The 13700-nt window shown below is 39.8% G+C and overlaps 1 protein-coding gene across 55 annotated transcripts in view; it reads left to right on the top strand.

Annotated features, from left to right (window-relative positions):
* The window catches only part of SGIP1 (SH3GL interacting endocytic adaptor 1), a 217779-nt gene that overhangs the window by 147976 nt on the left and 56103 nt on the right, over positions 1–13700 (top strand). For 21 of the 55 annotated variants that reach the window (NM_001376549.1, XM_047432059.1, XM_047432054.1 and 18 more), the window contains 2 exons: positions 7812–7939; positions 8854–8980. In NM_001376549.1, the coding sequence (NP_001363478.1) occupies positions 7812–7939; positions 8854–8980 (255 nt within the window). Of the gene's footprint in view, positions 1–532; positions 1034–7811; positions 7940–8853; positions 9195–13102; positions 13169–13700 lie in introns of those variants that run through there. The other 34 variants (NM_001376535.1, NM_001376542.1, NM_001376534.1 and 31 more) reach the window with 6 other exon arrangements.

Raw genomic sequence — 13700 nt, forward strand, 5'->3', positions numbered from 1 at the left:
AACAAATATTATAATCAGTTTCACCAAAGTCTTGATTTAATATACAAGAGTAGACAATCTTTATAAAATGTGAGGCCAACTTTGACTTCTCAATTCTTATATTGTGTGATGTGTATTTTATTAGGCCAGATTTTCAGAAGGGACCTTGCTTTTGGAATTTGCAGTCCCAGAGCCTGTACTTTTCTGTGAATCTAATACTGCCTTCTCAAAATGATCACACTTGGTGCACCTGTGAGCAGCCTTCGAGAGCAGTATCATGCACAGCACTTTACATGATGGTCAAAGTAGCTAGCTGTGCTCAGCTTGCAAAAAAGAGTAAACAATAGCATAAAAATATGATGCTCACTTTGTGGAGGGGGGATCTCTCCCCTCACCTTAGGCTCCTAATCCAATAAAGATATTTTTACATCATGAAGTATGCCCACTGAGGCACCTCAGACACCAATGTATTTTCCAGTCTTTGCCTCCCTCCCTCACTCCCCACACAAATAATAAGTCAATTAAAGTTTAAAATCAACTACTTTAACCACAGGAAATGACCAGTCAGCCACAGAGGTCAAAATTGAAAAACTACCATCCATCAATGACTTGGACAGCATTTTTGGGCCAGTATTGTCCCCCAAGTCTGTTGCTGTTAATGCTGAAGAAAAGTGGGTCCATTTTTCTGATACATCCCCGGAACATGTTACTCCGGAGTTGACTCCAAGGGAAAAAGTGGTGTCCCCACCAGCTACACCAGACAACCCAGCTGACTCCCCAGCTCCAGGCCCTCTCGGCCCCCCAGGTCCCACAGGCCCCCCAGGGCCTCCTGGGCCTCCTCGCAATGTACTATCGCCGCTCAATTTAGAAGAAGTCCAGAAGAAAGTCGCTGAGCAGACCTTCATTAAAGATGATTACTTAGAAACAATCTCATCTCCTAAAGATTTTGGGTTGGGACAAAGAGCAACTCCACCTCCCCCACCACCACCCACCTACAGGACTGTGGTTTCGTCCCCCGGACCTGGCTCGGGCCCTGGTCCGGGGACCACCAGTGGTATGTCTTATGCTTGAGTGTGCTTCTTGTGACGGGGAATGGCCATGGCTGCTGCAGTGTGAGCAACACCGTCCTCCTGCCTGGCAGCTGGCTTCAGAGCTTCAGCCCTCACTCCTCTAGTCTGGGTGTCCTGTGGCCCCACAGCATGTCCTAGTCCATCAGATGCTCACAGTCATGGTCCAAGTCTGTGGATGTGTTCTGCCTTGCACTCCCAGCCCTTAGGTGTGCCCTGCCATCCACGCTGCAGTTAAGAGGTCTTGATTTCTAAAACAAAGCTGTCATGCCATTGTTTGGAATTCAGGAAAGTTCTAGGAAGACAGATTTCACAGAGAGTGGGTTTCATGTTAAATGTCTGATTTCCTTGTCGGATGCCCCCACAAGGACACTAGGTTTTGTGGGCCAATGTGTTATGTGTGTATGTAGGCAAGCAGGAGGGGGTGGGTGGGCTTCTTTTTTTTTTCTATTTTTTTCTTTTCTTTTTTGGTTGTGGAAGAACCACGTTAACCCCTCTAATTTCTTTAAAAAGACATAAGGTTTGAAAAGGAGATTTTAGGAAGAAGCAAAAGAAAAAAAATGGGATACATATATTGCATCTGTAATCCAATCAAGCTGTCACTGAAGACAAACTTGATCTCTGTTCTCACCAGTTGACACACTCATCAGGCTATAGGTCAACTCTAAGTGTGGTGACAGGTGATGGACTCTATGCCAATTCTGATACTGAATTTTCTTTTGCTTATTTGAAGCTTCATTTTGTGTGTTTTAATTATGAAAGTATAGTAACACCTACCATGCATACCAAAGCAATATCAATATTTTCAAATGCATCTTCCCCCATATCATTTATTCCACTGTTGCCCAAATTTGTCTGACAACATCCCCCAGCGCTTTCCTTCCTGTGCATGTGGGTTCAGTTTAGGGGCCTTCAGGGGGTGCCATGTATTTGTTTTTCCTTTTGCTGTGAAAGAGGCAATAAAGTGTAAGGTACTTAAATCTAGTAAGAGACAGAAATTCTAATATTCAGTCATCATCACTGCCTCTTTCAATGAGGTCTTGCAGAACTTGCTCTGTGCTTGCAAATGCTTCTGTGCTTAAAGTGAGAGCATCCGTGGTGATCAAGAAGAGTGCTAGGAGTTCACCCGTACTGCACACAAAACCAGTGCTTTATATCTTTAGATGTGTATGCTTCCAGGTCCTCTTCCCCTCAAAAGGAAAACTATTCAAAATCAGCAAGTATTTTTACCATAAGACCTTTGGGAGCCTTTATTTTGCAAATAGTAGAAACCACAGTTTCTTATCCTGGGCACCACACTGTTTGTTTGTTTCTTTTCTTTTTTTTTTTTTTTTTTTTTTTTTTTTGACAAGGTCTTGCTCTGATGCCCAGGCTGGAGTGCAGTACATCTCAGCTCACTGTAACCTCCGCCTCCGGGTTCAAGCAATTCTCCTGCCTTAGCCTCCTGAGTAGCTGGGATTATAGGTGTGTGCCACCAGACCCAGCTACTTTTTTTCAGTAGAGACAGGGTTTTCAGTAGAGACAGAGTTTCACCATATTGGCTAGGCTGGTCTCGAACTCCTGGCCTCAAGTGACCCACCTGCCTCAGCCTCCCAAAGTGCTGGGATTATAGGCTTGAGCTACCGCGCCCAGCCCTAAATGCTTTTTGGCCCTAAATGCTTTTTGTACATTATTTCATACAACACCACCCTGTGGTAGATACTGTTATCTTTCCCTTTTTACAGATGGGAAAACTGAGGCTCAGAGATATCAAGTAATTTGCCCAAGTTTACAAGCTGGAGGCAATGAACTGGATTCATACTCAGGTCTGTCTGAGCTGGAGCCTATGTTGTTAACCAGTGTGCTCTCCAGGCACTTTTGTAAGGTTTGGTCATAAATATTCCAAACTTATTTGACTACTGACACCCATCTACACTGCACAGTGTCATCGACAAGATCACCAAAAGTCTTCTCTCAAAATGTACTCGTCTGTGCTCCTCTAATTCTAGAGGGTTACAGCATCCATCTCCATCCCTCTATTGTTCTTTCAGGTCTTTGAGGGGATACAAAGCTCCTTATCTACCTGTAAAGATAATAAAGAACCACTATGTAAATCCTCCAAACCACAAACCCAAAGACATTACTCGTCCGTTATAAAAGAGGGGTGTGTACTTTTATTTTCTATGCAGCTCTCTTAAGCCAGACTCTCAGTCTCCTAAAAGGACATTTAAAGAACACCCACTTCCCTCCAAGGGTAGGCCACAATGCTGTCCTCAAAGGAAACATCTTTATCAGGAGTAGAGAGGACAGGTGGCTTTGGTAATTCATCTGTGTTTCATCTAACACCTTTCATAAAGCTCTCGAAGATATTTGTTCAATTGAATTTACCACTGATCTAATTAGGAAGAAAGGAAACTTTGTTTTCTTTCTGGAATTTTTGAGAGTTTTGTTGTGATTTTAATGTTTAGCTTCCATACCTTTATTTGAAATTATTTTAAAATGTCACCAGTAAAGACTCTTGATTCTTCATAATTAAGCTGGAAAAAGCTTGACTTTACTGGTATTTAAAGATTGGATTTCTACGTAGAAAATTGAACTGGGCCACTGAAGTTTGTGAATAAATAAAACTCTGCAGTATTATCTCTTTAAGTAAGTCCCAGTTTATTTGCTGCTTAATCTTTTATTGGTGGAACATATACAAGCTGGAAGAAATATAAATTTAAGATTGAAACAATAGGGTATGGCCTCATGTTTTAAAGATTAGCAGTGCTTCTCACTACCTGCTTTTCATAACATTAGGCCTGATTAAACTAACTTTCTTGTATTTCTCGAAGCATATTTAATTGTATACCACTATGCACTCATTTTTAAAATTTTATTCACAGCAAGGTGATTGTCACTGACCAAGTATAGACAGTACTGATAACCTTGTGAATCAGAAGAGGTACCTGCTATTGAAAAGCAGTTGGAAGTTAAGAATTTGCTCCAATAACTTCAATTTCCTTATGTCAAAAGTTATAAATACCTGTTTTGGCCAGAACAGTACTTTACTGGAATGCTGGTTCTTGGCAAAGTCTCTCTTCTCCCATGTGGGTTGTGTGCCAGAGGCTGGAGGCAAAGAGTTTTGTTGGCTTGCACCATGTTTGAGGGCCAGGGAAAGAAAGGAGTAAGTAAAGAAAGAATGTTCAGTGCAACATTTTCCAACTTGGGAAACTAAAGATGTTATATGCAAACACACAGTCAATAAACAAATTAGTCTGAGCTACCTAGGGTTGAATTAACTGAATATATTTCCTAACTACAAGTCTTTTAGAGCAGCAATGTCCAATACAGTAGTACCTAGCCGCATGTGGTTATTTTAATTATAATTTTAGTTGCTTAACATTAATATAAAAAGTTCATTCTTTAGATACAGCAGCCACAATTCAAGTGCTCAGTGGCTATATGTGGCTAGCAACTATCTTATTAGACAGTTCTAGAATATTTTCACCATTGCAGACAGCTCTATTAGTAATGTTTCAGGGCTTTTAATGTGTTAGTCATCAAAAAGAGAAACATAGCATACAATCATTTACATACATATTTAGTGGTTTGTTCAAAGAAATGGTATCATTATGGTCTAAGAAACACAATTTGGGAAAGGTTGTTTAGTTTTTCACATATCTCAAAGTGCATATGTTTTAATTCACTTGATTCTCCCAGCAACAGCATGAACTATTAGCCTCATTTTGTGGATTAGGAAACTGTAGTTTAAAAAGGTAACTTAGCTGTGGTCACAAAGCTAGTAAGTAGCAGAGCCAGGTTATGGTCCCAGATCTGTTGGATTCCACGGCCTGTGCCTTGACCACTTCTCCCAGCTGCTTCCACTGCTCCAGCCCAACACACACATAAAAAAAGAGATGAAAGTTGAAGCGGTAGACACATGGTCTTCGGGGGTTGCCAAGCACATTGATTAGACCAGGTTGAGAACAACAAATGGATTGAGAGCATGTCAATCGTTGCCAACCTTTTTTAACTCACAAAACTCAGTGTATTTTGGGTTTTAAAGTTAAATCTTAAACAGTGTTGCTGTCCAAATCATTTTCCAGCATTGTTCTGGAAATAAACACTTTTCTAAGGGGGAAATGAAAATGCAATTGAAAATTGAAGAGTGAGGATAGAGATGTGCAAATGATAGCCATCTACACTCTTAAAATGTGTAACAATTGAATAATTTCACGAAAGTATGTGAAGCCTTTGTTCAGTTGTGAAATACCCCTCAGGCCCTGAACATCCCCTGCTAAGCCTCAGGGTTTGGTCAAGCAGGGTTTTAACTGAAATATCCTTTTGCTTCTTAGACATTCTCTTAATGTCGTTCTAGCTGCACAAGAAATCAATTACTTCAAATCAGTACAGAAAAAGTGATTTCAATGGGGCATCCGTAAAGGAAAACAATTAACTTTTCAATGAACAACGAACTTTTTTTTGACTTGTTAGTTGTATTTGTATCAAAAAACACAATCTTAATCATCATCACGGGTATCTACTACTTTCTATTTGTGTAGCATTTTATATAGTCAACATTTTCACAAGCATTTTCAATTAGTTACAAATACCTTGTAAGGTAGAAACAAGGCCTCACTGTTTAAAACAAGGAAGCTGAGGTTTCAGGCCAGTAGGGCCAGAACTCAAATCATCTGGTTCTTCATCCAGTGTTTTTCAATATTCCACACTGCCTTGGTGAAGTCTCCTTAGTACTTTCCCAGGCATCACTAAAAGGAGTTTAAATTTCTTTTTTCTGGAGCATGTAGGAAAAGGATAAACAGTTGGCTTTTTTTATTTTTAGATCAATTCAAAAGACTACTTCTTGGAAACAGACCTACAGATAGACATTTTGGACCTTTCCTATGCATGGTTTTCACGAAGCTAAATAGAACACCTCCTCCTCCATCAACACCAAAAAAAAAAAAAAATGTCCTGAGACTTCACTGTTTAAAGATTTATTGATCCCTATGCTGTTACTTCCGTCTTCTGAAAACATCCTGGGTGAAAATCTGACACAATAATCAAAAGAAAACTTTGTAGTGGGGCCTGTCAAAACATACCTTTTTTTTTTAAGAGAAGACTAGCCAAAGACTAAAAATATCTATATTGAGAGAGAGATGTGCAAGCCAAGCAAAAATAAGAACAGACTTTATGCAAAATGTGGGACTATACACCACAGTCCACAGTCCATCTCAAGCTATAAGAGATTGCATTTAAGAGCGTGAGCTTTGGAGGTACATACACAGTTTGAGCTATATGACCTGAGACAAGTTACTGAATATCTCTCAGCTTCAGATTCCACATAGATACCTAACAATACCTACCTCCAAAGCTTATCAGGGGAATAAGATCATACATGTAAAGTGCTTAGCGTAGACCTTGGCCCAGTGGAGAATAAAAAGTAAGAATACAGATGGTAGTGGTAGAGGAAGGTGGAGACAGAGAGGGAGCAGGGGTAATAATTAGTAGGTTTCACACGAATGTGATTACACATAGAATAAACAGCACAGAGAAACACACTCAGGATTTCAGATTATTTAAACAAGAGGAGCAAGGTTTAATCCCCCAGGGACTCTCCTAAAACACAGCAGATTTCTGAAATGATAGGTTTTGCTGCTCAACTTCAAAGCTTTTGAGAGTCTGAGAATTTGGAGACTGAGATGCTGATATAAAAACTCTCCAGAGATCCCAGTTTTGTGATGTGTTGTTTGGGAGGTGGTAAGGGGGTGGCAGGTGTGGGGGATGAAGTGTGGATATTTTCCCAGGGCAGGATTTCTTAGAATTTTCTTGGGATGATTTGAGACCTGTGCTTCTAACGGAAGTGACAAAAACCTCAGGAGTAGTCAGAACTTTTCTGAACAAGAACGGTTTGAACGTTGATTTGACTTTTTAAAGGTTTTTGGTCAAGTTTCCTTGTGTATCTCAGACATATGACTGAAGTTAGGCAGATGCCTGAATCCAGAGACCCCACTGGTGTGCTGACTGATGTGCATGCCAGCCTCTGTGTGTCTTCTGTGTTTCATACGTTTGTCATTGACAGCCAGAAAAGTAAATCCAAGAAGCTCTTTCAAAAATCGTCATGGGCAAACTCTGCATTGACAGATTCCCAAGCAGCCTCCTTCACAAAATAAAATCCTCTAAATTCAGTGCATGTCTGTTATCAAGATTCTAAATACAAAGTATTCATGCAACATCTAATCTATTTTCTCATATTTTGTCTTTTGCTTACCATCCAGTGTTTGGGTACATTGATAAAGTTGGTGCTCATAGCTTGACCACAGTCAAAAGCATAATTCTCTTAACCACATTTAAAGAAGAAAAACCTAAAATGGAAAAATCATTCATCTTCCTTCAAGTTCTAACCTCCATTTTCATCTTGGACATAAATTCTACATACATGCAAAATGCAAGAGAATTTATTATGTGTTTAATGTGTATGTGATGATAATGAAAGGTACCTACCATGCAGCAGAGAGTCTTAAGACCTTACCTCTGTCATAGAGCAATAAAAGGATTTACCTTTCACTGGGTGTCACATGACAACAAAAGGCAATGAGCTTCTACCATCAACCATAGCTGAAATCATTAATTTTTTTTCTTTATTAAGAAAAAAAAGAGAAAAAAGAAAGTGCTACAGTGTTTAGTGTAGTAACTGCCAAGGCAAAAAAAAAAAAAAAAATGTCCGGGACTGGCATTATACTGTGATAACAGCGCTTTGGCCCCCTGTGTTTCCAGCCATTTTAATGCTAGTTTGTTTTTCAGGTGCATCATCCCCTGCTCGACCAGCCACTCCTTTGGTTCCTTGCAGAAGTACCACTCCACCTCCACCTCCTCCCCGGCCTCCATCCCGGCCAAAGCTACCTCCAGGAAAACCTGGAGTTGGAGATGTGGTATGTTCCCTTCTGCCCTGGCTTGCTCAGAAACAGTGAGAATGACAAACAGAAGCTCCAAATGCCTTCAGGTCTAAGCGTTTAGAGAACTCGTACAAACAACCCTGACAGGTGGCATCTGAAAGACAGTCACTGCGGTATGAGTGTACATTTCAACCCTCCTCAAATTTCTACCATCTTTCAAGCCAAGGTCTAAAATGACAGGAATGGTACGCTTGGACCCTTACCTCTGCTACAGTGGGTTAGATACAAATGACGATAGTAACATTCATAGAAAGAGAGGTGTTTCACAGTATTTGTCTGATATTAGAAAACTCCAAGAGAGGGCAAATCCTGGTTTCTGATCCCAGAATACAGATGACATATTGATTGTAGGCACATGATGTGAATATACAGTGAAGGAGTGGTGGCTTGAGGAATTTGTTGCAGAAGTTTCTTGCCTTGTGTTTTAAGGCTGAGGAGTGGAAAACATTCTGTGTGAACAATTAAGAGAGACTTGTGGCAGAAGTAGATTTCTTTGGCATTTGCACACAGGAGTCAGAAACAAATGATGTCCATAGCATTTGGCTGGGCTAACGTCTAAAGTCGTTAGCTTTAGACGAGTATGAGTTCTCACTCTGTGTTACCTGCTGAGTCCCTGAGGGCATGTGAGTTCAGTCCTGAAACAGACCCACTGACCGTGTCACAGATCCCAGCTTCGCTAAGCTCAGCTTTAGCATGTTATGGTTTATCGTTTCTCCAGCTCCATTCCACAAACTCTCATATAGATAGAATTAATTTCAGTGTAAAAATGGTGTCATCTATTCTTCAGATACCTAAGTTGTCATATCTGGGGCTGGGAGACATTAAAAATATGGAGCAAAAATACTGCAACCTGTGTATCTAACTTTTCATCTCTTTTCTTCTCCTTACAGTCCAGACCTTTTAGCCCTCCCATTCATTCTTCCAGCCCTCCTCCAATAGCACCCTTAGCGCGGGCTGAAAGCACTTCTTCAATATCGTCAACCAATTCCTTGAGCGCAGCCACCACTCCCACAGTTGGTAAAAATTCTCTCCTCTCTTTTAATCCGTTTGTGGTTTTGACTGGCTATTTTTTATGATCTGAAATCCCCAAGGCCCTGTGTTTCTGGTTGAAATTGTTTTGCTGTGTGTTTTGCTACTATTACCTGACTCTTCTTTTAAAACCACCTTCTCAGCAAAGGAGGCAAAGTGCTTTACCTAAGCAAATGAACAAATAAAAGAACATTAACACCTGTGTTTTGCAGGAATTTTCTTATGCTGTTCCATACAGAGCTATTCAAAAAATAAGTAAGAAATCGCCAAGGAAGGTCTTGTAATTTAGATATTATTTCTTAAAATAAAAATAGTCTCCTTTGAGGGGAAATGTTTGTTTAAATTCCAACCATGAACCACATCAGAAATCACAAAATTTAGAACTTGTATTTTCTTGAAGCTTTCATTTCTTCATCATTTTTGGTTGTCCTTATGTTGACAGATGATATAAACATCGGCACTGTGAGACTTGAGCAAACTTTTCGACATTTTTTTTTCTAGTGCTTTTCAGTGATGTGTGGTCAGTTTTCCCAGAGAAATAAGCCGTTGGTGGCATTTTCAGGAAATGCCTTTATGCCTCTTTCCTTATGCTGTGACGAAAGTAAAGAGTTGAGAATGGCTGTTCAGCTGGATGGTTTTCCAAGGTTTCAATGCTTCATTTTGCCTGGAGCATCATCCCCCTTTCCAAAGCTGGTCTCTCTCTTTTTCCACCTCCCAGCAGGAGACAGGTTCCTATTGCCTCTCTCATTTTTGCATGGTGTCTCCCACCTAGGGCTTTCCCATTCCATTTTTCCCATGGGATCCCCGTTCCCCATTGTCTTCCTTTATTGTCAGAACTCCCCTCTGGCTCTTCCATAGTGTAAACCACCTGGCCCATCCCACATTGCTTGGGAGAATCGTTAACTAAAGCTAAATAACTTCCTTCTGCTACTCTCGGAAGAGCAGTCTGCCCAGTTGCCTATGTGAGAAGTAGCTTGATCAAAGCCTGAAGCTCTTCTGGAGAAAGAACTGCCTATTTTCCCAGATAAATAAGTTAAGGTGTGCCTTTTAAGGCCCCCAAAGGGAATTTCAACTATATCACGTGCCTTTATATCTTTAATCAAATCCTCCCAAAAGAACCTTTCAAGTTTGGTGAAAATAGAGCCAGTTACCTAGTTTCTTGTGAGTTACCAACAGACAGATATTTAACATTATTTATGTAGCCAAGTTTGCTCCTGTCTGCAACATCAACTGGGGCAATTTGGGGCTTCCTATCTTTGAATGCCTAGTAACTCATTTCCCTCTGTTTTGTTTGTTTGTTTCTGTAATTTTTTTAATTCTATCTCCTTAATACTCCTTGATTGCTATAAGCCATCCCCCACACTGCCACTCTTTTTCTAGATTAGTTGTTTCACCTCCTTCATGTGATTTGACTTGTCTGTCAGAGAGGAAAGTAAGAGTAAACTGTCACTCAGAAAGCTGACCCCAAGTGACCTCAGATAAACCTGTAACATGTTCTTTCAATGCACTGTGATTCATAGAGAAAATAGCACACACAAAGAATTTGAACTGGCCAAGTGCAGTGGCTCATGCCTGTAATCCCAGCACTTTGGGAGGCCGAGGCGGGCAGATCACAAGGTCAGGAGTTCAAGACCAGCCTGGCCAACATAGTGAAACCCCATCTCTACTAAAAATACAAAAATTAGCCGGGTGTGGTGGTGGGCGCCTGTAGTCCCAGCCACTTGGGAGGCTGAGGCAGGAGAATCCCTTGAACTCGGGAGGCAGAGGTTGCAGTGAGCCAAGATCGTACCACTGCATACTCCAGCCTAGGCGACAGAGTGAGACTCCATCTCAAAAAAAAAAAAAAGAGAGAGAGAGAATTTGAACTTTGTGTATGTTTGTACAATGTGTTTTTATACTCCCTGCTGCAGAAATCTCAAATCCTGGCCAGAAACTTTGATTCTTAACACATCTGGAATGGGTTCCTTCAAGATGAACCAGAGTGGGATTAAAAAAAAAATAGCCACATAAGAGGATAGTCACATTGCTTCATTACTAAGGAGCATACTGATTTAATCTGTTTGATTTTGTTATGTTTATTTGGTGTCCATCTTCCTGCTGAATTCCTCACCCTCCTGCCTCGTCTTTTCACCTGCTGTGGGTCAGCTGACAGCCACTTTTCTCCGAAGTAAATATATTGTCAAGACTGACTGTCCCCAGACTTCCTGTGCACTGCTCTTCCTCTCCAGAGAGGATGGGCTGTTCAACACCAAAGGGCCTAATCATAACTGACTTGGAATGTCAACTTAATGTAGTCAAATGGTGTGAGGGAGGTAGAGAATTTCAGCAGCAAATTCTCTGAGGTTGGTAGCTCAACATTTCCCTCCCACTGCAATACTTCTTTTTGACATTTCCTATGGTACTTGAACCAAAATTGGGGCAAATCTAAAGTAATTCAAGAACTAAAGTTTTAAGAGCAAGTCTAAACCTTCTACACAGCAATTCATATAAGAAGATGCCCCTAAATGACTTTGGATATGAAATCTCTCATGACAGCTGTGATTACACAATAGCAAATCTGATGCCACAGGTGAAAACAGGACTTTTTGTGTATTGTCACACTCGAATGAAGAAGAGCTCCTATACAACTGCCTTTTATTGAATTGAAGACACCCTCGATTGAAAAATGTACCATTATTTTTTATACGACTAAGAAAGGGGAGAAAAACTACTGGTTGAGCTAAGATAAAATGTTTTTTTATTACATTAATTATTTCAGACAGGTTATAATATGAAAAAGTGCACAGTTTAGAATCAATGAGCCAGGTATGGTGGTGTGCGGTGGTAATCTGGTGGTAATGCCAGCTGAGATGGGAGGATTACATGACCCCAGGAATTCAGGACAAGCCTGGGCAACATAGCAAGATTCTCATCTCAGTTTTTAAAAATAATAAATAAATAAATAAATAAATAAATAAAAAACAGTAATTTCTTTTGCACTAGTAAAAGCTCACAGGACCTCTACTATATGATTTGGGGGAAAATCCTATCAATATTATGAGGATAGAGAAATTGCTTAAAGTTATTCTAAGAAACAAGCACCTTGACATTTCAAGATACAGAGATAACAATAGAGATAATGAGGAATATTATCATTAAATTGTAAATATGGAGTCAAGCTAATAGAATATTTTCTGAGGAACATTATTATTTGTGGAATATTTTTTCTACCCTCATCCATTTCCTTCTCTGCATTTTTCTTTCTTACTGGTCTTTGTACAGATTTTATTCAATTTTCTGTTAAAGTTGTAATAGTATGCATAAGACCTGTGGCATTGAGTACTTTTTTAAAATCCCACATAGAGTCAAAAATCCCAATTACTTGCATTTGTTAGTTGCTGAGAAGACAGACCTTATAAAGAGCTGAATTGGTTAAAGTCCAGAGCACCAATTCATGATGTTGTGACCAATTTACAAAGACATTCAGACACAGCTGGATACCATAGACAAAGATGAAATTATGATAATGCTGTTCAAAATTAACGGTCCATAACTATCAAAGGCAGGTGCAAGGCAAATTGAATTTGGATATTGATGAGGCTGAAATGGGATAGTTCATACAGGGACCTTGGATTTATACTGTTGCTTTTTTATGGCCATGTTAAAAGCATCTACTTTCCCCATGGGAGGAAGGTGCATGCTGAGTGATCCTGTTGAGCTGTCACTGCTCTGTCAGGAGATTCTTGTTGATGGACATATGTCTGACCACTTGAGAATTGTGTTGGAGTGAAATACACTTGCATAAGTCAATTATTAATGACAGTTCCTTTAGCAACTCCCAGAGAAGGTGGGGCATGACTTCTTCCCTGGAGCTGACTTCAGACAAATTCACAGATGCTAAACCCTGGCTTTTTTTTTTTTTTAACATTTTAATTTCCTCTCATAGAATCATCACAAAATAAGAAAACACTTCTTTATATCGTAATCATAATTCCAGTGTTTTCAGTTTTGTTTCCTTTTTCCACTAAAATCATTCCTGTGTTTCAATCAGTAAAGTGGGCTTCTTGATTTCATTTGGGATTTGTATTTGTGTTTTTGTTTTCCATTCGTTTATGTTTCTTTGGTTCGTAGTGTCAGAAGACGATGTTTTTTATGACAAACTGCCCTCGTTTGAAAGGCGCTGTGAAACGCCTGCAGGTATGGTGCTAGCCAAGTGATCTCTAGAGACCTAGATTCCAAAAATCCAAGCCATTATCCATCTGAATGCTATAAACTTCATGGACATGCCCTCACCTCATGAGTGTCCAGTGCCTCTCAGATGCACCCTGTATATTTACTGTTCATCATGGAACTCGTGCCACTGAAAATTTTTAAGTGACTATATTCAAAAACAGCAGGTTGCATGACAGTTTCTCAGTGAAGAGGTTCAAAAAAGGTGAGATGCTATTGCTTTGTGAATTTACAAAGGAAAGAATAATTTAACTGCTCAGAATTACATGTCCGGTCACTGCTTTTTAATTTAAAAAATAATAGAGCATCATTAGTAATCTTGTTTTCTCTTTGATACATAGGTAAAGGGTGTTTTGTGTCTGGATGCCTAAGGTGATTCCAAGGGAGGGGATGGAAGATATGTGACATCTTCCCTGAAATTTATATTGATATGCAATGCTTTGTCATTTAAAACCTAAGCTAATGTTTTCTACAATCCATAACTCTGAGTTTATCTTTT

This window comes from Homo sapiens, chromosome 1 (genome assembly GCF_000001405.40).
Source record: "Homo sapiens chromosome 1, GRCh38.p14 Primary Assembly".
NCBI lineage: Eukaryota > Metazoa > Chordata > Mammalia > Primates > Hominidae > Homo > Homo sapiens.